General features: G+C 40.7%; 1 protein-coding gene across 15 annotated transcripts in view, besides 1 other annotated feature; it reads right to left on the bottom strand.

Moving 5' to 3' along the window:
- Positions 1–25,017, bottom strand: part of GPR89B (G protein-coupled receptor 89B) — a 97,515-nt gene that overhangs the window by 53,784 nt on the left and 18,714 nt on the right. For 10 of the 15 annotated variants that reach the window (NR_183755.1, NR_183756.1, NR_183759.1 and 7 more), the window contains 5 exons: positions 18,686–18,806; positions 17,749–17,829; positions 5,488–5,597; positions 3,188–3,276; positions 2,192–2,284 (listed from right to left, as the gene is read on the bottom strand). Coding sequence is in view for 9 of the 15 variants with exons in the window: in NM_001350184.2 (NP_001337113.1) it covers positions 2,192–2,284; positions 3,188–3,276; positions 5,488–5,597; positions 17,749–17,829; positions 18,686–18,806 (494 nt within the window). In the remaining 6 variants the exon portion in view is untranslated. Of the gene's footprint in view, positions 1–2,191; positions 2,285–3,187; positions 3,820–5,487; positions 5,598–17,748; positions 17,830–18,685; positions 18,807–25,017 lie in introns of those variants that run through there. The other 5 variants (NR_183757.1, NR_183758.1, XR_007060778.1 and 2 more) reach the window with 5 other exon arrangements.
- Positions 22,921–23,438: an enhancer, noted in NCBI's record as "NANOG-H3K27ac hESC enhancer chr1:147420827-147421344 (GRCh37/hg19 assembly coordinates)". NCBI's record gives its function as "activates a minimal SCP1, AML or CMV promoter by ChIP-STARR-seq in primed H9 embryonic stem cells {active_cell/tissue: H9 hESC(primed)}" and the evidence as "EXISTENCE:reporter gene assay evidence [ECO:0000049][PMID:30033119]".

The raw sequence follows: 25,017 nt of genomic DNA, 5'->3' as shown, positions 1-25,017 counted from the left end.
TGATACAAATCATAACATGGATAAAATGTAAAATAATCATGCCGAGTAAAATAAGCCAGACAGAAAAAGGATACATACTGTAGGATTCTACTTACATAACATTCTAGAAAATACAAACTAATATATAATGAGAGAAAGCAGACTGGCAGTCGTCTGGGGACTAGAGGTGTGGGAGAGAGGCATTACAAAGGGACACCAGGAATCTCAGGAATCTCATGGCAGTGATGGATGGATGTGTTCTCTGTCTTGACCGTGGTGATGGTTGTTGCATAGGTATATATGTATGTCAAAACGTACCCAGTTGTACATAAATATATGTTCGGTTTACATATCAGTTATACCCCAACAAGCCTGTTAAAAAATGACATGCTGGCTGGGTGCAGTGGCTCACGCCTGTAATCCCAGCACTTTGGGAGGCTGAGGCAGGCGCATCACAAGGTCAGGAGATCGAGACCATCCTGGCCAAGATGGTGAAACCCTGTCTCTACTAAAAATACAAAAAATTATTGTATTTTGCGTTGTGGCACACACCTGTAGTCCCAGCTACTTGGGAGCCTAAGGCAGGGGAATCACTTGAATCTGGAAGGCGGAGGGGTTGCAGTGAGCCGAGATCATGCCACTGCACTCCAGCCTGGGAGACAGAGAGAGACTCCGTCTTCACAAAAAAAAAAAAAAAAAAAAAAAAAGACATGCTTCCCTAGGCCGGGTGTGATGGCTCACGCCTGTAGTCCCAGCACTTTGGGAGGCTGAGACGGGCAGATTGCCTGAGCTCAGGAGTTCGAAACCACCTTGGGCAACATGGTGAAAGCCCATGTCTACTGAAATACAAAAAAGTTAGCTGGGCGTGGCGGTGCGTGCTTGTAATCCCAGCCACTCGGGAGGCTGAGGCAGGAGAATTGCTTGAGCCCAGGAGGCAGAGGTTGCAGTGAGCTGAGATCGCACCACTGCACTACAGCTTGGGTGACAGAGTGAGACTCCATCTAAAAAAAAAAAGACATGCTTCCCTAAACGCTGCATCTTAGGAAAATACCTTTTAGTAGCTTTGCTAACTGAACATACTATCTTCATTCATTATCTCCCACTGAATGAATCCAGATTTTAAAATGTCATCTGAGTATTATTGACATCAATTTATTGTAACACTAGATCCTTTATATAATGAAAATCCTCATTCATCTACATTGATCAAAATTAACTAACAAGCTGACAAAGCTCCTCTGTGCACAAACACAAACCCAGTAGGAAAGTCATCAAACTAGGAAGTCAAATCAGCCTTTTCTGTAATCACATTGAAATCCATTAATACCTGAGTCAGAGGTAAAGACAAATACTGTACATAAAAAATATTATGAGAAAACCACAAAAGAATTAGAGCTATATGTACAGCAAATGAATTTATCTATGGAAATACATTTTAGAATTTATTGTGAACTTAATTTTTTAGGTATACACATAATTAAAAAGGACAAGTAACTTCTGAGCTGAAGGTAGAAGTTGAAGTTATATATACAGTTATGTACTCATGGGTAACACAGAAAGCAGAATGCAAAATAAGAAATGTTCACATTCTATATATATATAGAGAGAGAGAGAGATAGAGAGAGAGAGATAGAGATAGAGAGAGAGAGAGAGAGAGAGAGAGAGAGAGAGAGAGAGAGATGGAGTCTCACCCTCTCCCCAGGCTGGAGTGCAGTGGCGTGATCTTAGCTCACTGCAACGTCCGCCTCTCGGGTTCAAGCGATTCTCCTGCCTCAGCCTCCTGAGTAGCTGGGATTACAGGCAGCCCACCACCACACCCAGCTAATTTTTGTATTTTTAGTAGAGATGGGGTTTCACCATGTTGGCCAGGCTGTTCTCGAATTCCTGACCTCAGGTGATATGCCTGCCTTGGCCTCCGAAAGTGCTGGGATTATAGGCATGAGCCACCATGCCCGGCCTCAATTTAGATATTTCATAAACTAAGGCCTTATTAACAATTTCTGACAGAAGAAAAATGCAACCTTCCTTATCTATGTAATCTAAAAAGGAGAGAGGATAACAAATGAAGCCCAGAGATGTGGAAGATCATGCTCTCTGTTGATGCAATCACATTTGGAATTTAGTTCAATATATCAGTCAAATCCATTCTTATCTCCCTGCCACTACCAGGAAAAAACATCTAAACTCTGATAATTAAAAATAACATACTTACCATGAAAATTTTCCAAACACAGTAAATAGAGAAAAAGTAACCAAGAAAATTAAAATATTTCCCCTTGAAGGTTTTGGAGTATTCTATTCTCTCCTGGGGGAAAACAAACACAAAACATAGTTTTCAGCAAAATATAAATTTATATTCAACACAAGTATTCTTCCCTCTATGAATCACTGTTCAGGTTCAGTCAAAAAACCATACATTGCAATAATATTAAACTAATAACAGTAGTTGTGGCCAGCATTTACTGAATGCTTGCTTTTAGCTAGAGACTGGGATAAACATCTTACATGCATTATCCACTTAATCTTCATAACAACTCTTATGAGATACGTTCTATTATCTTAATTTTACAGATGAGAAAATTGAGGCTTTGAGAGGTTCGATAACTTGCTCAAAGTCACACAGCTGGTGAGTAGGCTCAGGTTTATCTGTTTCCAAAGCCTATGTTAACCTCTGTCCTATAAGGTTACTCCTGTAAAGTTATCCTCAAAAAGAATTAAAAGTTTGCAATCTTCACTAACAGATTTTGCACATTTAAATTATATTTTATTTTAGGTGTACATAGGAAAGTTACTTCTTACAGTTTCGACACTTATTGATCTGGATCCTTTAAAATAGGGCTAGGCCATCCATGGCAGATAGGTGTCTACTGCTCTTATAATATTACTAACTTATAAAGGAATAAAAAGTAGCTACCATCTTTATCCCAGGTTAGTAGGAGGTGGTACGTGCCACCTTCCTAAATGTTGAAAAGCCTCTTCTGACTATCCCACCAATTGCTACTTTTGAGAGTGTTCCATTAAGGATTTTGCTAGTGACAGGAGCAATTTCATGAAGAGTGAAGATCCCTTATCCCTAATGCTTCATGGCTGATATAGAAGCTGTGAGGTATCTCTTGCTTGGCCACAGAGAAATCTAAAAAGCCATTTAGTCTTGTTCTCTCTTTAATAATATTGGTAAAAACCACACTTCAGTTTCCTTGCTCTGTACCTTGGTAGCATATAGATCAGCTGTTTCCAGAAAAAGCTGCCTGCTTAATTCTTCCAAAGCATCCACTTCCTGTTGAATAAGAGTAAGATCTGGCACAGAATGGGCATCAAGGTTTTAATCACATAGGAATTTCAAGAAATGGCAATGAGAAAGCATATACTTTTAGTTTTTCCTACAGTGGATTCCCGGAGTTGCCTATATTCTCAATTTCCTGTTTCATAGCCAGCAACACTACTTCAGAGCAACTTTCCCAACCTCTGACGCAGGTGTGTAAAAGCTTCTCCATCAAGAGCATCGCCACCAAACAATTACCACTCAGTTTCTCTTAAGTCAAGCAGCTCAAACAGATAGTTTCATTTGTTTTTTGATTTATCTAGTTAGATTAAGTCAAATGTAATGTTCAAGATTGTAAATAGTTACAGAATAATAACTATAATAAAGCATAGCTTTCTCCTACATTATCTGAATATAATGTTAGAAAAGGGAACTAATACTTTACTGTGTTCTAATATAGGCTAGGATTTACAGACATTACCTTATTTCTTTTCAAACATTATCTTCTTTTATATCTTATCTTCATGGGATTGTCTTATGCCATGGTGTTATCCATTTTGCACATAAGGAAAGTGAAGCTCAGAGAGTTAAATAACTTGCTCAAAGTCACACAATTAATTGATAGAGATGCAAAGTCAAATCCTCTTTTCCTCCAAAGCCTGCTCTTTCCGTTACACTATGTTATTTTCCAAGAACTCAATCAGGTAGAGTTATTATTCTCCCATTTAGAGAACAGGGGCTCAGGGAGGTTAAATAGTCCTGATATGTTTGTTAACTCATCACTAACACAGCTCAAACCCATATTATTGGCTTTTATGAACTTTTAAGTAATAAACATAGTAAATATAGCCCCTTCTAAAATAGAAGCACATACTTCAATCTAAATCCTCCCTCCTCTCTGATTTTTCCCACTATTACCCAAATCAGTAAGTGCCCTTCAGTTCCTTCCTTAATAGTGGCTACTACTGGCATGGTTCAAGCCACCAAACAATATGGTTTAACTAGTTACATGTCTGTCTCTCCCATGATTAGAGGGTAAGCTCCTTGAGGAGAAAGGCTATACTCTACTCATCATTTTATTTCTTAGCACTCAGCCTGGAAATAGGAGATACAAAATAAATGTTTCTTGGTTAAATAAATCTAAATTAATCCTTTTTCTTTCTCTTCCACAATCATCTTGCCTTTCTTTGATCTTATTCTTATCTTCATTTGACACCAGGACATAAATCATAATTTGTAGCAAGAATAGACATCCTTCTCTAATTGAGGCAAAAGGGAATTTGTATTTCCCTGGGACAGAGAAGGAAACAGGAGTATGCTATCTCATGCTTAGTTCCCCAAAGTTTTGACCTAATAGCACCAGAGCCACACAGAAATTTGGTTACATAATTTGGGAAGTAGTTCAACATCATAACCAATCAGGAAAGAACAATTTATTAATCTATTAATCAAATCTCCTTTATCCTTTCTTTTTTATTTTGAGACAGGGTCTAGCTCTGTTGCCTAGGCAGGAGTGCAGTGGCGTGATCTGGGCTCACTCCTACCTCAGCCTCCCAAGTTCAAACAATCCTCCCACCTCAGCCTCCTGAGTAGTTGGGATTACAGGCACATGCCACTGGGCCTGGCTAATTTTTGTATTTTTTGTAGAGATGAGGTTTTGTCATGTTGCCGAGGCTTGTCTTGAACTCCTGGGTTCAAGTGATCTGCCCACCTCGGCCTTGCAAAGTGCTGGGATTACAGGGATGAGCCACTGCGCCCAGCCTCCCCTTGATTCTTTAAACCAAAATGTCACTGGAGAAGCAGAGCTACTTAAAATTTGTTTAGGAATACTAATTACTTTAGAAATGGGCCATTTATTTTAGGTAGCCATTATGCTTTATGGTGGTTTTTCAGAGTTGAGAAATGTAATAGTGTAGTGGAAAGAACTATGAAGAGGAGACCACAGTTATGTTTCTAGCTTTGCCACAAACCACCGTGTGACTTAACCTCTCTGGGTCTATTTTCTCATCTGTAAAATGGAAAGGCTGACTTTTTAGGACCACTTCAGCTCAAAGACAATGATTTTATGATATTGTGCAGGTGCTGGAAAGATGACTGTACACATGGTATTTCCTAAGCCTAGCTCTTAGGAGTTTGGACTCTGATGTAGTCAGGTACCTTAGAAGGGACTATCCCAACACTACTTTTTTTCTTTTGCTCTTGGTCCAGAGTTGAGAAAAAGAATCAAGCAGAGGGACAAAGGATACTTTCACTTCCTGATGCTGAAGTGGTAACACTTTTTATCATTCCCCAGAAACCTGATGGTTTGTTATGCACTTCCCCCTTCTGGAACATTGTTCTCCGTGCCATTGCCATCCTGAAATGAAAGAAAATATAAAGCCTCAGCAAGCAAGCATGGACCCTCACAGTCTAGTCCCATCCATTTTCCAGTCTCACAACTGCCTCTCATGTACTGAGCTGTTTATGTAAGGATACTGATTCTGGAGTCCTACTTTTCTACTACTTACAACTGAAGGGAAACTATGTGGAAGCAATGTGGCCTGGGTGAAGAAGCACAGAATTTGGGCTAGGCAATAAATTTGAGGACTGGCTCTGCTATTTGGAAGCTGGGAGGTCTTAGAGTTTTCATCTCCTCATATCTGGATGGTTGTGAAGATAAATGAAATAATACATATGAATTCATGTTGTCAACTACAAGGCGCTATACATAGTTTAATTACTACAGTTACCATTTAAAGACAAAATAAAACAGCTAACATACCTGGCTGGGTATGGTGGCTCACTCCTGTAATCCCAGCACTTTGGGAGGCCGAGGCAGGTGGATCACCTGAGGTTGGGAGTTCAAGACCAGCATGGGCAACATGGTGAAACCCCATCTCTACTAAAAATACAAAAATTAGCTGGGCGTGGTGACCCATGTCTGTAATCCCAGCTACTTGGGAGGCTGAGGCAGGAGAATCGCTTGAACCTAGGAGGCAGAGGTTGCAGTGAGCTGAGATCACGCCACTGCACGCCAGCCCAGGTGACAGAGTGAGACTCCATCTCAAAAACAAAACAAAAACAAACAAACAAAAAAAAACAGCTAACATACCTAACTAAAGGACCAAATACAGAGTTTGGAACGCAATACATGTTTTCTTCCTTCTTTTTCAAAGGCAGACAAAAGGAAAAAAAAATAGCAAAATTGCATAAACCTGTCCCCTTCTAAAATATCAGTCTCTAAGTCCAATACCCTCACCTTCTGTAATCTGTCCTACAGGTGAATAAGTCAACAGGAAACCTACCACTCCTGGTCCTCTCAGTCTGTGGAGGACCGACTAGTACAGTGGTAGCTGCTGGCATGTCCCAGCTCACCACAAAGGTATCAACAGGGTCCTAGTGAGGATCAAAATAAAAGATCATTTGTACATAATTGATTTAAAGGGTTTAATGGGCCAAGGCCTACAGGCATAAAATGAACTAGGATGAGTCTAATAAAAATAGAGTAGCAGGACCAAAGAAAAATGTAACTCAAGGTGGATATTTTTGGGAGGCAAAAGATAAAAATGGTGAAGAGCAAGCAGCAGCATTGGTATTTATGCCTGGGACTAATACAAATAGTAGCAATGGTACCAAAGATCAAATGATATTTCTATGGGTGAAATTTTTTGAGCCATTAGCTAAAATGATATTAACAGGAAAGAATGTCAGCCATGTTGACTTAACTGTTTCCTTTTGAAAATGACCTTTGCCTGGATACTGAGTGAATGAAACACAGCTCTTTTAGCTCTTTCTGCCTTTCTTCTAACTACACATCTACTATCACTCACCATTTTGGGAAGATGTAATAAACAACCAAGAAGAGGCTCAGACCTAGGGAGATTCTGACTTGTAAGATTAAGGCTTAGTAATTCTAGGTTTTTATATTTTCATAGTTGAAAAAGCTAGAACACATACACAAAGAAGGCAAGGGTTCTATTCCACTCATTTAATAGTTCATTTCAGCTTAACATGCAGGATTAAAAGAGGCAGTTGTGAGAGAGGAAGCACAGAGCTCATTTCTATTGTCCTTATTTTCAGTGTCTACAACAAACACTAATGACTGGCTGTGGAGTGGAATCGATTGAATATGTAAAGGTGATTGACACTGTGCTGTGGTCTCATAATAGGCAAAGAAGTGTAATCACTAGAAGTGAAAGTTAGAGGCACATAGACAAGCATGGCCTTGTTTTAAACAATTCACTTTTACTTTCAATTGTATCAAGAATCTATTAATTCTAAACCAATTTTGCTCTTATCAAATAAGTTGTAGATGAAAAAGAAATGATTATATATTTAAGAAGGTAACAATATTAAACCTTCCGAAGCGTGAATAGGAATGAAAAAACCACCCAACCATATGAGGTACTATAGAATTAGATCACCTTCATCTTCAACTTTTCTTTACTATCATCATCACTATTGCCTCTTTATAACAAGGGTAGCTTACAAGGAATTATCTATTTGTTATTAGCCCAATGTCATTTAAAAGTTCCTAATATGGAAAAACATATGCACTTGGCTGAGGTTTGGTAGTAGTGTACAACAGAAGAAGCTAAAAAATGTCTACTGAGGTTTAAATGTCAGTCAACTATTTTCTGGTCTCTGTTGTTTCTAGTAGGAAGTCAGCCATTACTTTTTTTTAGTTAAACTTTTTGAAATAATTGTAGATTCATAATGTAGTTTTGAGAAAAAATACAGAGATTCCATGTACCCTTTACCCAGATTTCCTCAACTGAAATATCTTGCAAAACTCTAGTACAACCAGGATACTGACATTGATAGAGTCACAATACGGGACATTTCCATCACTACAAGGATCTTTCAGGGTGCACCTGTACAGCTTACCTCCCTCCCACCTCCAATTCCTTAATTCCGGCAACCACGAATCTGTTCTCCATTTCTGTAATTTTATCATTTCAAAAATGTATATATAACTAGAATCATACGGTATATATTCTTTGGGGATTCTTTTTCACTCAGCGTAATTTTCATAAACATTCAAGTACAGTTTTTTGTGTGAATATAAATCTTCATTTCTCTGGATAAATGCCCAGGAGTGCAATTGTTGGGGTGTGGTAACGGCATGTTTAGCTTTTAAAGAAAGAGCTAAACTGTGTTCCAGAGGGACTGTACCATTCTACATGGATGCCAGCAATGTATGAGTGATCCAGTTGCTCTGCATTCTTATTAGTATTTGGTGTTGTCACTAATTTTTATTTTAGCTATTCTGATAGGTGTGTAGTGATTATCTCGATGTAGTTTTAATGGCATGTCCATAATGGCTAACAATGTTGAACACCTTTTCATGTGGTTATGTGCCATTTGTATATCCTCTACAATAAAATGTTCATCATTTTTGCTTATTTTCTAACTGCATTTTTTTTAAATGTAAGCTTTGAATGTTTTTTATTCTAGATACTAGTGCTTTCTCAAATAAGTGGCTTGCAAATATTTTCTCCCAGTGGGTAGCTTATCTTTTCATCCTCTTAACAGTATTTTTTTTTTTTTTTTTTAAGAAGGAGTCTTGCTCTGTCACCCAGGCTAGAGTACAGTGGCTCCATCTTGGCTCACTGCAACCTCCGCCTCCCAGGTTCAAGCCATTTTCCTGCCTCAGCCTCCCGAGTAGTTGGGATTACAGGTGCCCGCCACCACGCCTGGCTAATTATTGTATTTTTAGTAGAGACGGGGTTTCACCATCTTGGCCAGGCTGGTCATGAACTCCTGACCTTGTGATCCACCCACCCTGGCCTCCCAAAGTGCTGGGATTACAGGCGTGAGCCACCGCACCGGGCCTTAACAGTCTTTTACAGAGCGAAAGTGTTAAATTTTGATGGAGCCCAATTTATCCATTTTTTCCTTTCATGGATTTTATTTTTGGTATCAAGTAAAGAACTTTTTGTGTAGCCCTTGATTCCAAAGATTCTTTTTTTTTTTTCTGAAAGTTTTATAGTTTTACATTTTAGTCTATTATCTGTTTTAATTTTTTTTTTTTTGAGACGGAGTCTCGCTCTGTTGCCCAGGCTGGAGGGCAATGGCGGATCTCGGCTCACTGCAACCTCCACCTCCTGGGTTCAGCAATTCTCCTGCCTCAGCCTCCCCAGTAGCTGGGATTACAGGTGCCCGCCACCACACCGGGCTAATTTTTTGTATTTTTAGTAGAGACAGGGTTTCACCATGTTCACCGGTCTAGTCTTGAACTCCTGACCTTAAGTGATCCGTCCGCCTTGGCTTCCCAAAGTGCTGGGATTACAGGCATGAGCCACCGCGCCTGGCGTGTTTTAATTTTATATAAGGTGTAAGACTTAGATTTAGATTCATTTTTTAAACCTATGGACGCCTAATTGCTCTAGCACCATTTGGTGAAAGGTTATCTTTCCTCCACTGAACTGCTTTTGCATCTTTGTCAAAAATTAGCTGGGTGTATTTGTGTCAGTATTTCTTTTCTTTTCTTTTTTTTTTTTTTTTGAGACAGAGTTTGGCTCTGTCACCCAGGCTGGAGGGCAGCGGAGCAATCTCAGCTCACTGCAACCTCTGCCTCCTGGATTCAAGCAATTCTTCTGTCTCAACCTCCCAAGTAGCTGGGACTACAGGCGCATGCCACCATGTCCAGCTAATTTTTGTATTTTTAGTAGAGACGGGGTTTCGCCATATTGGTCAGGATGGTCTCAAACTCCTGACCTCAGGTGATCTACCTGCCTCAGCCTCCCAAAGTGCTGGGATTACAGACGTGAGCCACCGTGCCTGGCCATGTGTCGGTATTTCTGGGTTCTCTTTTCTGTTCCAGTGATCTATGTCTACCAGTACCACAGTCTTGATTACTGCAGCTATATAATATGTTTAAAGATCAGGTAGAGGAATTCCTCTCATACTGTTCTTTTTAAAAATTGTATTAACTATTCTAGTTATTTTGCCTTTCTGTACAAATTTTAGAATAATTTTGTGTATATCTACAAATAAATCTTGCTGGGATTTTGAAATGAATAACATTAAATTTGTATACCAATTTGGGGAGAATTAACATCATTACTATTCAAGTCTTCCAATCTATTAACATGGTTTATTTATATCTTATTTGATTTTTTCATTAGTTTTATAATTTTCAGCAAACAAGTCCTATATACATGTTTTGTTAGACTTCTATGTATTTCATTTTGTGAGTGATTGTAAGTAGTGTATTTAAACATTTGATGTTCATATGTCCGTTGCTAGCTTATAGAAAGACAATTGATTTAAAAAAATTGGATTTTCAAGATGGGGTCTTGTTACGTTGCTCTCAGGCTGCACTCAAACTCCTGGGCTCAAACAATCCTCTCGCTTTAGCCTCTTGAGTAGCTGGTCAAGCGCATTCACCACTGCTCCTGGCTACAACTGATTTTTGTATGTTCATTTGGTATTCTACAATGTTGTTGAATAACCATTACTTTTTTTTTTCCCATTGTTGCCCTGTATGTATCATTTTCCCCTTGTTGCTTTCAAGATTTTCTCTTTACTTTTGCCTTTTAGCAGTTTCACTATATATACACATAGGTGTAGTTTTCTTATGTTTTGGGCTGGTATTTCTTTCAATGCTTTTTCTGCCCCTTTCCTTTTCTTTAGAACTCCAATCACAAGAATGTTGGACTGCTTGATATTGTCTCCTACTGAGACTTTTGTTGAGTTTTCTTCAATCTTTTTTTAAAAAAATATTTACTATTTTTTTCTTCTTTTTGAGACAGAGTCTCGCTCTGTCACCTGGGGTGGGGTGCAGAGGCGTGACTGCAGCTCACTGCAACTTCCGCCTCCCAGGTTCAAGCCATTCTCCTGCCTCCATCTCCTGAGTAGCTGGGACTACAGGTTCCCACCACCACGCCCAGCTAATTTTTTTTGTATTTTTGGTAGAGACGGGGTTTCGCCATGTTGGCCAGGCCTCAAGTGATCCGCCTGCCTTGGCCTCCCAAAGTGCTGGGATTACCTGGCCATTTTTCTTCAATCTTTTATCTATTCTTCAGATTAAATAATTTCTATTAATCTATCTCAATTTTTATTTTTATTTTATGTTTTGAGACAGTCTCGCTCTGTCACCCAAGCTGGAGTGCAGTGGCATGATCTCAGCTCACTACAACCTTGCCTCCTGGGTTCAAGTGATTCTCCTACCTCAGCTTCCCAAGTAGCTGGCACTACAGGCACGTGAAAGCATGGCCAGCTAAGTTTTGTATTTTTGGTAGAGACAGGGTTTCACTATGTTGGCCAGGCTGGTCTCTAACTCCTGATCTCAGGTGTCCAACCACCTCGGCCTCCCAAAGTGCTGGGATTACAGGCGTGAGCCACCATGCCCAGCCTGAATTTTTATGGATCTGATTCTTCTGTCATCTCAATTCTCCTGTTAAGCCCACCTAGTAAAATTTTTATTTCCGTTACTGTAGTTTTCAGTCTTTGGATTTCTATTTTGTTGTTTTTTAAAAGTTTCCATTTCTTTGTTGGGATTCTCTTTTCACTTGTATCATGCTTTCCTTCACTTTTTTGAATATATTTGTAATGGTTACTTTCAAGTCTTTGTTAAATGTGTAATCTGGATCCACTTGGAGTTAGTATCTATTGGCTGCTTTTTATCTTGAACATTGGTCACATCGTCTTGTTTCTTTACATGTCTAGCAAGTTTTGGTTGAAGGTAATATGTTGTAGTGACTTTGGAATCTGTTTTGTTTTTCTGAGAATTGTTAATTTTTTTGGCACTAGTAAGCAGTTAATTTACTTAAACTGTGAAATCTGTCATACCTGCAGCAGCTAATGTTTCTGCTCAGTTTCTTGGTTTCTAGCTTCTCCTTTTTAGCCTAACTCCCTGATATTCTCTGCTGAGCTTGAGCTTGTGTAGGGTAGTGGTAGTCTGGACAAATTCTATAGTCATATTTTAGGGCTTATCCTCTCTGTGGATCTTTTGCTTCTAGGGATCTCTCCTAAATTTTCAACTGCTTTGCCAGTCCTGAGATCTACCCTCTGACACCTCAAGCCAGAAAAGCTTTCACTTTCTGTCATCCAAACTGTGTGTTCAACCTGCACATAGCTCAGAAAATGCACTCAATCAAAGGCACAGCAACCTTGCAAATCGCACCAAGAAGCAGTTCAGTATATCAAGGATAGACTCTCTTCTAGTTTCTGCCTATTTTTCTCAGACTCTTTGGTGTTTACCGTGGAAATACATTATTTAATGATGACACAGAGATTTGGGAAGGGTTTATACTGAGATTTTGGATATCAGTCCTTCTGCATTTCCCTCATTTCCAAAATTTCCCCTTTAAATGTTCAGTTACTCAGCTGATTTAAACTCTTACCAATCTGTACACTTGAGTGGGTGCTGGGAGGGTGGGTGGTGGCTAAGGGGCACTTCCAGGCAAGAAAGCTATCAACTTGCAATAGTTACCTGATGCTCTTCTCAAATTTCTACCTGCCTCTGCTCATTTTCCAGTAACTTCAAATACTTGCTTTTAATATTTTTTCCAGTTTTTATGATTTTCTGTAGAAAGAATTGCTTAAATTCTTTCCACTGTCATTTCTGGAAGTTTCCTCTATTGAGAATGGCTGTGGCTGTTGCTGAAATTTCACTAGTGAATATATTTCTTCCTCCTATCTCTACAAAATTTCAAAGAGGTCCTAGAAAACTAATTCAAGGTAGAGGTTAACATTTTTTCCCTCACTGTTCCAAACAGGAAGACGTATGCCTCTTTCCTCCTCCCATTTTAAACCATTAACTTTTTTGTACATAACAAATGTTACTTTTCTTGTATGTCATCTCACTATGGCCCTCTACTGTTAAGGTGAAAGATGGTTTTCTGGTCACTACTCCTCCCCAACTATGAATGTTTGCAAAAACAGTTTTTCTTTTTTATTAAAAAAAATTTTATTTTGTAAAACCACTTGTAAACAACAAAAACAGTTTTTCTATATTGTGGTAAATGGCAAGGGCATTATATGAATCCCAAGGGCCCCAGTGTTGTCATGTTTGCTGTCTATCTGCTCTGTTAGTTCCACTGGGTAAAGGACTGTGGTAATGGGGTCATGCTGGGAGGCTGATTCTTCTGTGAGCCACTCAAATTAATAAAACTTACTGTCGGACCACAAACCATTCCTGATCCTGACCAGACAATGCATTATAGGGGAAATGGGCTATAGTATGTACAGATCAGAGTCAATTCCTTAGCACTATTAGTATGAAATGGCTTAAAAGTATGTATCCACACTTGACATGGGTCATGACTTCACTTTTTTTTTTTTTTGAGACAGAGTCTCGTTCTGCCCCCAGGCTGGAGTGCAGTGGTGTAATCTCGGCTCACTGCAACCTCTGCCTCCCGGGTTCAAGCGATTTTCCTGCCTCAGCCTCCCAAAGTAGCTGGGATTACAGGCATGCACCACTATGCCCAGATAATTTTTGTATTTTTACTAGAGATGGGGTTTTGCCATGTTGGCCAGGCTGGTCTTGAACTCATGACCTCAGCCTCTCAAAGCGTTAGGGTTACAGGCATGAGTACCCGGTCATGACTTCACTTTTATATATTCATTTCTTTATATGAATAAAAGAAATACAGTGAGAAAGAGAATAGCCTTGGGAATCAAAATAGTATTGTTTATATAAATCTTTCACTTTTGAATAATCTTGCTCTATTTTTTAAAATCTGCATTTATATACACTCATGTAAAATAAACAATAAATGTAAATAAAATAAATTATACACGTGTCTACCTTCAATAGCCTAGTCTTTACTGACTGTCTTTACTGACATGCAGAAATAGAGACAAATAATTAGTCAGTGAACCTGAGCCTTCTTTATCATTCTTTTTTTTTTTCTTTTTTGAGACGGAGTCTCACTCCATCACCCAGGCTGGAGTGCAGTGGCGCGATGTGGGCTTACCGCAAGCTCCGCCTCCTGGGTTCACACCGTTCTCCTGCCTCAGTCTCCCGAGTAGCTGGGACTACAGGCGCCCACCACCACGCCCGGCTACTTTTTTGTATCTTTAGTAGAGATGGGGTTTCACCGTATTAGCCAGGATGGTCTTGATCTCCTGACCTTGTGATCTGCCCGACTCGGCCTCCCAAAGTGCTGGGATTACAGGCGTGAGCCACTGCGCCTGGCCTTTATGTCTAATGTTATCTCTTACATTAAGGCTTCTTTAACTTGACTATGGGTCTTACTATAGAAAAGTGTTGAAGAAGGAAATATGAAATGTGAAAATACTCATGCAATTCAAAACCTGTTACCATTTACTTATGGGTAATAATAACTTTAATAAAGAGAGTAGACTAATAAGCTTCATGAAGGTAAGAAATGATTATCTTGTTCATCATTCTATCCCTAGCATCTAGTACAGTGTCTGGCGTAAACTAGGTTTTCTAAAATTATTAAGTGAATGAATCTATGAATGAATAAATGAAGGCAAAGCATGAAAAGCAAATGATTGTACTGTAGAGACTATTAATAATTTCAGTAGTTGTCCTTAGCTATATGTGGGTCATTGTTCTAAGGGCTCTAACTTGTTTTTCTAAGTCTTAACTCATTATTATTACCTCTATTTTACAAATGAGGCACAAAGACATAAAGTAACTAGTTCAAGGTCACACCATTAAGTTGTAGATCAAGGATTCAAATTCATACACAGTCTGATTTCAGAGCCTATGCTTTTATACACTGTGATATAGATTTCTATGAAATCCCACCTTGAAAATACACATTTTAAAAGTACTTTTTAAATAACAAAGATGATATAGAGGACTTAAATGATTTTAAGTAGTTGGAACGAAGGAAGTTGAGATCTAAGTCAGATATGTAAAAGATTGTAAAAAATTAAGGAAAATAGACTTAAAAAAATTCAGGACAATAAGGCTGGGCATGGTGGCTCACGCCTGTAATCCCAGCACTTTGGGAGGCCAAGGTGGGCAGATCACTTGAGGTCAAGAGTTTGAGACCAGCCTGGTCCAACATGGTGAAACCCCGTCTCTACCAAAAATACAAAAATAAGCTGGGTGTGGTGGTGCGCACCTATAATCCCAGATACTCGGGAGGCTGAGGCAGGAGAATTGCTTGAATCTGGGAGGTGGAGGCTGCAGTGAGCTGAAATCACGTCACTGCACTCCAGCCTGGGCAACAGAGTGAGACTCCGTCTTAAAAAAAAAAAAAATCACAATAGACAATATTCCATTCTTTGAATACAAAAATTATACACCAGTCCATGAACATGGGATATCTTTCCATTTATTTGTGTCGTCTTCAATTTCTTCTATTAATGTTGTATAGTTTTCAGTGTCCAGGTCTTTCTTCCCCCTTGGTCAAATTTATCCCTAAGTATTTTTTCTTGTAGCTATTTTAAGTGGGATGGTTCTCTTGATTTCATTTTTGGAATGTTCATTGAACATTAGTATTGTTAAAACATCCATACTACCTAAAGCAATCTATAGATTTAATGTAATCCCTATCAAAATTCCAACGTCATTTTTCATAGAAATAGAAAAAATAATCCTAAAATACATATGGAACCACAAAAAACTGAATTGCCAAGGCAATCATGAATAAAAGAACAAAGCTGGAGGCATCATACTATCTTATTTCATATTATACTACAAAGCAATAGTAATTAAAACAGCATGATACAAGCATAAGCACAAACTCATTGACCAAGGGAACAGAATAAAGAACCCAGAAATAAACCCACACATGTATGGTCAATTGATTTTTGACAAGGGTGCCACATGTACACACTGCGAAAAGGACGGTCTTTTCACTAAACGGTGATGGGAAAACTGAATATCCATCTGCAGAAGAATGAATTTGGACCCTTCTCTCACTTAATATATAAAGATTAACTCAAAATGGACTAAAGACTTAAGCCTGGAAACTATAAAACTAGAAGAAAACAGGGAAAAACTACACAAATCATGCTCTGAGCAATAACTTTTTAGATTTAACCCCCAAAGTGCAGGCAATTAAAGCAAAAATAGACAAATGGGATTACATCAAAATAAAAAGCTTCTGCACAACAAAGAAAACAATTAACAGAGTGAAGAGACAACCTATGGACTGGGAGAAAATATCTGCAAGCCATATGTCTGATAAGGGGTTAGTATACAAAATACATAAGGACCTCAAACAATTCTACAGAAAGAAAACAAATAACCTGATTTTTAAATGGGCAAGGAACCTGAATAGACATTTCTCAAAAGAAGGCATACACATGACCAACAGATATATCAAACAATGTTTAACATACTAGCCATTAAGGAATTGCAAACTAAGACACAATGAGATATCACCTCATACCTGTCGGAATGACTACTATCAAAGGGGCAAAAGATAAAGAACATTGGTGTGGATGCTGAGAAAAGGAAACCCTATTACATTGTTTGTGGAAATATAAATTAGCACAACCCTATGGAAAATAGTGTGGAGGTTCCCAAAAAAACTGAAAATGGAATTGCCATATGATCCAGCAATCCCACTTCTTAGTATTTACCCAAAAGATCTGAAATCAGTAAAATGTCAAAGAGATATCTGTACACCTATGTTCACTGCAGTATTATTTACAACAGCCAAGTTATGGTATCAATCTATATGTGCAGCAACAGAAAAATGGATAAAGAAAATATGGCATACATGTACAACAGAATACTATTCAGCCTTAAGGAAGGAAATTCTTTCATTTGTGACAACTTGAATATAACTGGAGAGCACTATGCTAGCAAAATGAGTTGGACACAGAAAGACAAATACTGCATGTTCTCACTTATATGTGGAATCTAAAACAGTGAACTCAACAGAAGCAGAGGGTAGAATGATGGTTACCAGAGGCTGGATGGGTGGGAGGAATGGAGAGATGATGGTCAAAGGGTACAAAGCTTCAGTTAGACAAGGAGGAATAAGGTTTTTTTTCTTTGCAACATACTGTACAGCATGATGAATGTAATAAATAATAATGTATTGCACATTTCAAAATCACTGAGAGTAAATTTCAAATGTTTTCACCACAAAAAAATAAACATGTGAGGTGACAGACATGTTAATTAGCTTGATTTAATTATTCCACTTTGTATGCCACAAATATATACAACCATAATTTGTCAATTTACAATTTAAAAAATTAAACAAAAAAATTCTAATAATTTATCTAAGGAGAATGATCTAAATTCAAGAAATGAGATTGAATTTTCTTTCACACAAAACACTAAATCTTTTTAAAAAAATTTTTTATATTTTTAATTTTATTGTTATTTTAAAGGGGTGGGGTCTCACTATGTTACCCAGGCTAGTCTCGAACTTCTGGGCTCAAATGATCCCCCCGTCGTGGCCTCCCAAAGTGCTGGGATCACAGGTGTGAGCCACTGTGTCCAGCCAACACTAAATCTGGTACTTTACCTTATAGTAAAAATGAATAAGATAAAATTCCCTGCCAGCACCAATTCACAGTCAAATTTTCTTGTTGAGAAATTGTAAGAGTCCAAATGTATTACAGTGTTGATATCTTACCTTTTCTTTTTGCTTATGATCATATCCATGGTTTGCAGCAGTCGCCGTTCCAGGGCTAGAATATCCGTGTCAGTCACATTCCTACAAAAAGCACAAACTGCTAGCAAAATGTTTTGGGGTCCCACTCTTGGGCATGATACAGGGTATCTGGAGACAAACATAGACTTCAACTGTTACCTACTACTTTTTTCTAGAAAATAGTAAAATGACCATAATAAACTAAAATGCCTTTGCTCTCATTTCTTATAGCTAATCCTCTGGGATCTCAGGGAAATGGAATTCACCCAGCTCTCTTACAGTTTTTCTTAGCTTTGATCCAGTTACATTTATATATATATATAAAATATATATTTAAATATTTTTATTTTATTTTTTATTATACTTTAAGTTCTGGGATACATGTGTAGAACATGCAGGTTTGTTACATAGGTATACACGTGCCATGATGGTTTGCTGCACCCATCAACCCGTCATTTATTTATGAAAGAGTCTAGCTCTGTCGCCGAGGCTGGAGTGCAGTGGCATGATCTCAGCTCAGTGACATTTAGGATGTATGTTTAAGCACACTTTTAACTTGGCATTGTCTTCTACTGTTCTGTTAATATCTAGGAGGGGAGCTGAACTGCTGAAGTTGGAGTTGGTTTATACTGCTGGTCACTAGAAATGTGCCTTTAAAAAAGTGGGAGGGGAGTGTCAGATTGAAATTTGCCATTTAAAAAATAAATGAATGTAGGACAAATAATAAAGGCAAGCCGTACAAGTGATAATACTTATTTAGAAAGATTTCCAGGTCAATGCCCACAGGGACAGAGGAAGAGAAGAATAAAAAGACAGTGTCATAGATCTAATATATAATCTTAAAGATGGTGGCATAATATGACATATGTATTCAAGAAGTAATGGGGCAAAAAAGAAAGGATGCAAAGCGCTCTGTTACCTGAGGAAGTAAGACATGTAAGTGTATGGGCAGTTGACAGCACCAAATCCAGAAAGAAGAGCCATGAGAGTCACTCCAATCACACCAACCCGGCTGATGAGCTGTTCTATGGATAAGATCCCTAAAAACATCAAGGCACATTAATGCCAGGTAATATAGACAAAATGGCTCTCATCTGTACTGCAAAAGGAAACATTATTTAAAACATTAACCATTACACATAACTAACTCATACAAGCCAACTTTTAATTATTAATGTGTAGATTATTTATAATAAATATACTAAAAGTTTACTGATTTTCCTCCTGTCCCATATGCTTCAGAGTGATCTCTTTTATTGGGTGATAGCAGTAAAATAATAACAACAATAATTATAAATAACAATCATTGACTGTTTACTCTTGGTAGCATGAATGCTAACAAAGCAAAGTACTTTTAGTAAAAGCATCGGCCAAAAAAAAAAAAAAACTAAGAAAGTAAATCTGCTGGAAAAGTATAAATAGCAGGAACTACTTTGTGCTAATTATCTTTGATATATATGTATTTCCCCTAAGGTGATACTCTTTTGCTTTTGTCTTATTCTTTTTTGCATCCAATAAACACAGAATTCATCTAATAAAAGGACTAAACTTATAGATGAATGAGTAATTCAAAGGCAAACACATCAGTTTCGGATTATAAATTGTATCCTAATTATCAATTGTTTCATATCACGTGAGAATGCTGAAAATCAACTTAGCAGTTAAAATAAATACTGCTGGTTGATGTATTTGGGATAAATGAGAGAAAGCCAATGCTGAAGAATAACTCAGTAAGTTTGGCATTGCAGAAAAAGAATGGTTTTAATTGGTTTTCACTTTCTATTTCTAGGATAGAATTCACTACAGCCATCCACTCCTATGGTCAAATGCCAGAGCTATATAATTCAGGAATTCTGTCAGCTTCAAAACTGAAAATTCCAATATTCCTTTTCTGACTACTGGCCTCCATTCCTAGTCTTTCTATTTCCACTACACTCGTTTTAGAGGTCAGTGCAACCTCTGGTCTTCTGCTTCTCCATTCTTCACCTAGCTTGGACTCCAGGCTTGCTGGCTTCAAATTCTCTCACCAGGAGCCTCAATCTCCTACTATCTTCCTTCTGAAGCGCTAATCCTACAAATTCCCAACTCTGGATCAGTCTAACACTCTGCCTTCCCTGTGCCCATGTTTTGCTGCCTCAAATTGCTAGAATGCATACTGATTTTGGAGCCATTACAAATGTATGGTCTCCAGACCTAAGAGAGCTCTCACACTATTGACTAATCCTTATCTTGCCCTTGGTCAGCCATCTCTCTCCATTGCCTTTGGCAGTTACTCTTTATTTTTCCTACCTTTGTCCTTCTCCTTTGCCAATGTCCTTATTATAAAAGACATAGCTATTAGCCATAAACTACCTTCACTCTACTACAAACTACCTTCACTCTACACTATGGTCATGAATTTTCTCCTGGTTGCAAAATTCAACATTTTCCAATCTTTGTTTTATGGGCTGTTTTATAACATTGAATATACATCTGCAATCATCCTCCCAACTTGTCTCCCTTAGAACAAAGTAGCATCCAAAGCTAACTTCTCCACTTGTGCTTCTGATCTTCTCTGGGCCCTGGGAACTGTCTCATCCTTATATGTGAGTTCTGGGATATTGCTAGTGATAATCTTGGTGCTATTTGTTTTTGGTTTTCTGCCAGGGGGGTAAGCAAAGCCAGCTTGCCCCTACGCCACCATCTTGGAACTAGAAGTCACCATACTTTTGATTGTATTCAATCCCTTCCACCTCTTTCAGAGTCTTGTTCCATCATCTGTCTCCTCTCTCTTGTATATTCAATATTTCCTTCTTTGCTAGTTCTTTCTCTTTAGTTTCAATTCTCTTTTCTAAGAGAAATTCTGTTCTTGGCTTCGAGTTTACGTCTAGTTACCAACCCCCATCTATTTCCTCCTTAATAGACAGGCTTCTTAAAAGAAGTTTATAGTTATTGTCACTTTTTCTTCACCTCCAGTTCATTCCTTAACTGACTGCAATCCAGCTTTCTTCCCATTCTTCTTTATTGAATGAAATTACTTTCACTAGTAATTGTAATGGCAATATAATAGGTAATATTCACCAAGCACCTGCTATGACTAGGCACTGTTCTAAGCATTTCACATGTTCTAATTCATTTAACCCTCATAACAATCCTATGAGGTAGATATTATTGAAAACCTAATTTTACAGATGAAGAAATGGAGGCACAGAGAGGTTAAGTAACTTAGTTAAGGCCACACAGATAAAAGGGGCAGAGTCAGGATTCAAGTGCAGTCTAGCTCCAGAGTCTGGGCTTTAACCACTACGACACTATGGTAATAAGTTTTCCCCTGGTTGCAAAATTCAACATTTTCCAATCCTTGTTTCATTGGCTCTTTTATGACATTGAATCATTTTTGTTTAAAATTATTTTATCGCTCTCCCTCTCCCTCTCCCTCTCCCCCATCTCCCTCTCCCCACGGTCTCCCTCTCCCTCTCTTTCCACGGTCTCCCACTGATGCTGAGCCGAAGCTGGACTGTACTGCTGCCATCTCGGCTCACTGCAGCCTCCCTGCCTGATTCTCCTGCCTCAGCCTGCCGAGTGCCTGCGATTGCAGGCGTGCGCCACCACGCCTGACTGGTTTTCGTATTTTTTTGGTGGAGACGGGGTTTCACTGTGTTGGCCGGGCTGGTCTCCAGCTCCGAACTGCGAGTGATCCGCCAGCCTCGGCCTCCCGAGGTGCCGGGATTGCAGACGGAGTCTGGTTCACTCAGTGCTCAATGGTGCCCAGGCTGGAGTGCAGCGGCGTGATCTCGGCTCACTACAACCTCCACCTCCCAGCCGCCTGCCTTGGCCTCCCAAAGTGCCAAGATTGCAGCCTCTGCCCGGCGCCACCCCGTCTGGGAAGTGAGGAGCGTCTCTGCCTGGCCGCCCATCGTCTGGGACGTGAGGAGCCCCTCTGCCTGGCTACCCAGTCTGGAAAGTGAGGAGCGTCTCTGCCCGGCCGCCATACCATCTAGGAAGTGAGGAGCGCCTCTTCCCGGCCGCCATCCCATCTAGGAAGTGAGGAGCGTCTCTGCCCGGCCGCCCATCGTCTAAGATGTGGGGAGCGCCTCTGCCCCGCCGCCCCGTCTGGGATGTGAGGAGCACCTCTACCCGGCCGCGACCCTGTCTGGGAGGTGAGGAGCGTCTCTGCCCAGCCGCCCCGTCTGAGAAGTGAGGAGACCCTCCGCCTGGCAACCGCCCCATATGAGAAGTGAGGAGCCCCTCCGCCCGGCAGCCACCCCGTCTGGGAAGTGAGGAGCGTCTCTGCCCGGCAGCCACCCCGTCCGGGAGGGAGGTGGGGGGATCAGCCCCCCGCACGGCCAGCCGCCCCGTCCGGGAGGGAGGTGGGGAGGTCAGCCCCCCGCCCGGCCAGCCGCCCCGTCCGGGAGGGAGGTGGGGGGGTCAGCCCCACACCCGGCCAGCCGCACCGTCCGGGAGGGAGGTGGGGGGGTCAGCCCCCCGCCCGGCCAGCCGCCCCGTCCGGGAGGTGAGGGGCGCCTCTGCCCGGCCGCCCCTACTGGGAAGTGAGGAGCCCCTCTGCCCGGCAAGCTGCCCCGTCCGGGAGGGAGGTCGGGGGGTCAGCCCCCTGCCCGGCCAGCCGTCTCTCCGGGAGGTGAGGGGCGCCTCTGCCCGGCTGCCCCTACTGGGAAGTGAGGATCCCCTCTGCCCGGCCAGCTGCCCCGTCCGCGAAGGAGGTGGGGGGGTCAGCCCCCCGCCCGGCCAGCCGCCCCATCCGGGAGGGAGGTGGGGGGGTCAGCCCCCCGCCCCGTCAGCTGCCCGGTCCTGGAGGGAGGTGGGGGGGTCAGCCCCCCGCCCGGCCAGCCGCCCCGTCCGGGAGGTGAGGGGCGCCTCTGCCCGGCCGCCCCTACTGGGAAGTGAGGAGCCCCTCTGCCCGGCCAGCCGCCCCGTCCGGGAGGGAGGTGGGGGGTCAGGGGGGTCAGCCCCCCACCCGGCCAGCCGCCCCGTCCGGGAGGGAGGTGGGGGGGTCAGCCCCCCGCCCAGCCAGCCACCCGGTCTGGGAGGTGAGGGGCACCTCTGCCCGGCCGCCCCTACTGGGAAGTGAGGAGCCCCTCTGCCCAGCCACCACCCTGTCTGGGAGGTGTACCCAACAGCTCATTGAGACCGGGCCATGATGACAATGGCGGTTTTGTGGAATGGAAAGGGGGGAAAGGCGGGGAAAGGATTGAGAAATCGGATGGTTGCCATGTCTGTGTGGAAAGAGGTAGACCCGGGAGACTTTTCATTTTGTTCTGTACTAAGAAAAATTCTTCTGCCTTGTGATCCTGTTGATCGGTGACCCTACCCCCAACCCTGTGCTCTCTGAAACATGTGCTGTGTCCACTCAGGGTTAAATGGATTAATGGTGGTGCAAGATGTGCTTTGTTAAACAGATGCTTGAAGGCAGCATGCTCGTTAAGAGTCATCACCACTCCCTAATCTCAAGGACCCAGGGACACAAACACTGCGGAAGGCCGCAGGGTCCTCTGCATAGGAAAACCAGAGACCTTTGTTCACTTGTTTATCTGCTGACCCTCCCTCCACTATTGTCCTATGACCCTGCCAAATCCCCCTCTGTGAGAAACACCCAAGAATGATCAATTAAAAAAAAAAAAAAAAAAAAAATTATTTTATCTTCTTGGCTTCCACAACACCATTTCCCTATGTTTTCCCTTTTACTTCTCTAATTGCTTTTTCTTGGTCACTTCTTGCTCTGTCTGGACCAGAGTTCTCACTTTCATTTCAGGATACACATTTTTTGCTTAGGTGATCTCACCAATTTCCCCAGCTTCACCTAATGGCATTTAGTTGATGATTTCTAGTTGTTTAGATTCCTGGAGTCATCTCTATGAGGACTGATACATGTACACCTTTTCCCTAAGCTCCTGATTTGTACATCCAATTGCTTATTTAACATCACCTGGATATGCATAAGTAACTCAAATTCAGCATATACCAAACTAAAATTATCTTTCCCCTCAACTTGTTCCTTCCTCTGCATTACCTGTCTTAGAAAATGACATAATCACCCTAACAATAAAATCTATACACTATACGATTACTTTCCATTCTATCTCTTGCCTTTCCTTGAATACACCAAGGTCTTTCTGCCTCAGGGCTTTACATGATGTCTCTTGTGCCTTCTTGCTGGGTCTTCCTTTGGTCTTGTCCTTTAAATCTCAGCTTAAATATCCCTGTCTCAGAAAGGGTGGATCTAACTGTTTGCACTACATTATCGGCATTTTTCTCTATCACAGCAACCTGTTCACTCCTTGATGACAATGATCACAATTGGCAATTATTTATTTATATATTTACCTCTTTATTGTCTAGTTCCACCCACAAGACTATAAATTTCAGGGGGGCAGAAACCAAGTTTGTTCCGTTTGTGGTTTATTTCCAGTGCTTAATTTATATAAAGTGGATGCTCAATAAATATTTGTGTAATGCTAAATGAACGAATAAATCCTCACCTAAATTCTGTTATTCTACTTGCCGTATACCTCTTGAATTTGCAACCCCTTTACAAGAAGACATCATTTCTTATTGATCTTTGTTTTCCTTACTGCTTGGCACATATGAGGTGTTCAACAAATGTTTGTTGACTATAATATCACTCAGTAACATAAAAAATCCAAGAGATTAATATGGGTTATTAAATTTGAAAAACTGAAAAAATTCCCCCTCTACCTTTATTCCTTTTAACATGGTGTCTTTGTCCTTTTATTACATATCTTTTTCTGGTTTAAAGTACTTTGTAGATACTATTTACTTAATCTCAGCATTTCTATGAAGTAGGAGTCAGTCATCATTATCCCCATTTAGCAGTTAATACATGGAAAGTCAGATGAATAAGGAGACTAGCAGAAGATCATCTCACCTTTGCCACCTGCTCACACAGATTCCTTACAGTCTTTTGTAATCTCTCTTACTCTTTCCCACTAAGGACATTCCAAGGTTGGTTCAGACACAGCACAAGAAGTACTTTTACAGATTTTTTTTTTTCATTTTACATAAGGATTGGTCTTATCTTTTTTTTTTTTTTTTTGAGAGTCTCGCTCTGTCGCCCAGGCTGGAGGGGAGTGGCACGATCTCAGCTCACTGCAACCTCAGCCTCCTGGGTTTAAGCAATTCTTGTGTCTCCGGCCTCCGGGGAGTAGCTGGGATTACAGGCATGCACCACCATGCCTGGCTAATTTTTCTATTTTTAGTACAGACGGGGTTTTGCCATGTTGGCCAGGCTGGTCT

This window comes from Homo sapiens, chromosome 1, assembly GCF_000001405.40.
Source record: "Homo sapiens chromosome 1, GRCh38.p14 Primary Assembly".
In the NCBI taxonomy this organism is placed as follows: domain Eukaryota; kingdom Metazoa; phylum Chordata; class Mammalia; order Primates; family Hominidae; genus Homo; species Homo sapiens.
Note: the sequence above shows the minus strand (reverse complement) of the source record. Positions and strands in the feature narration are given on the sequence as shown.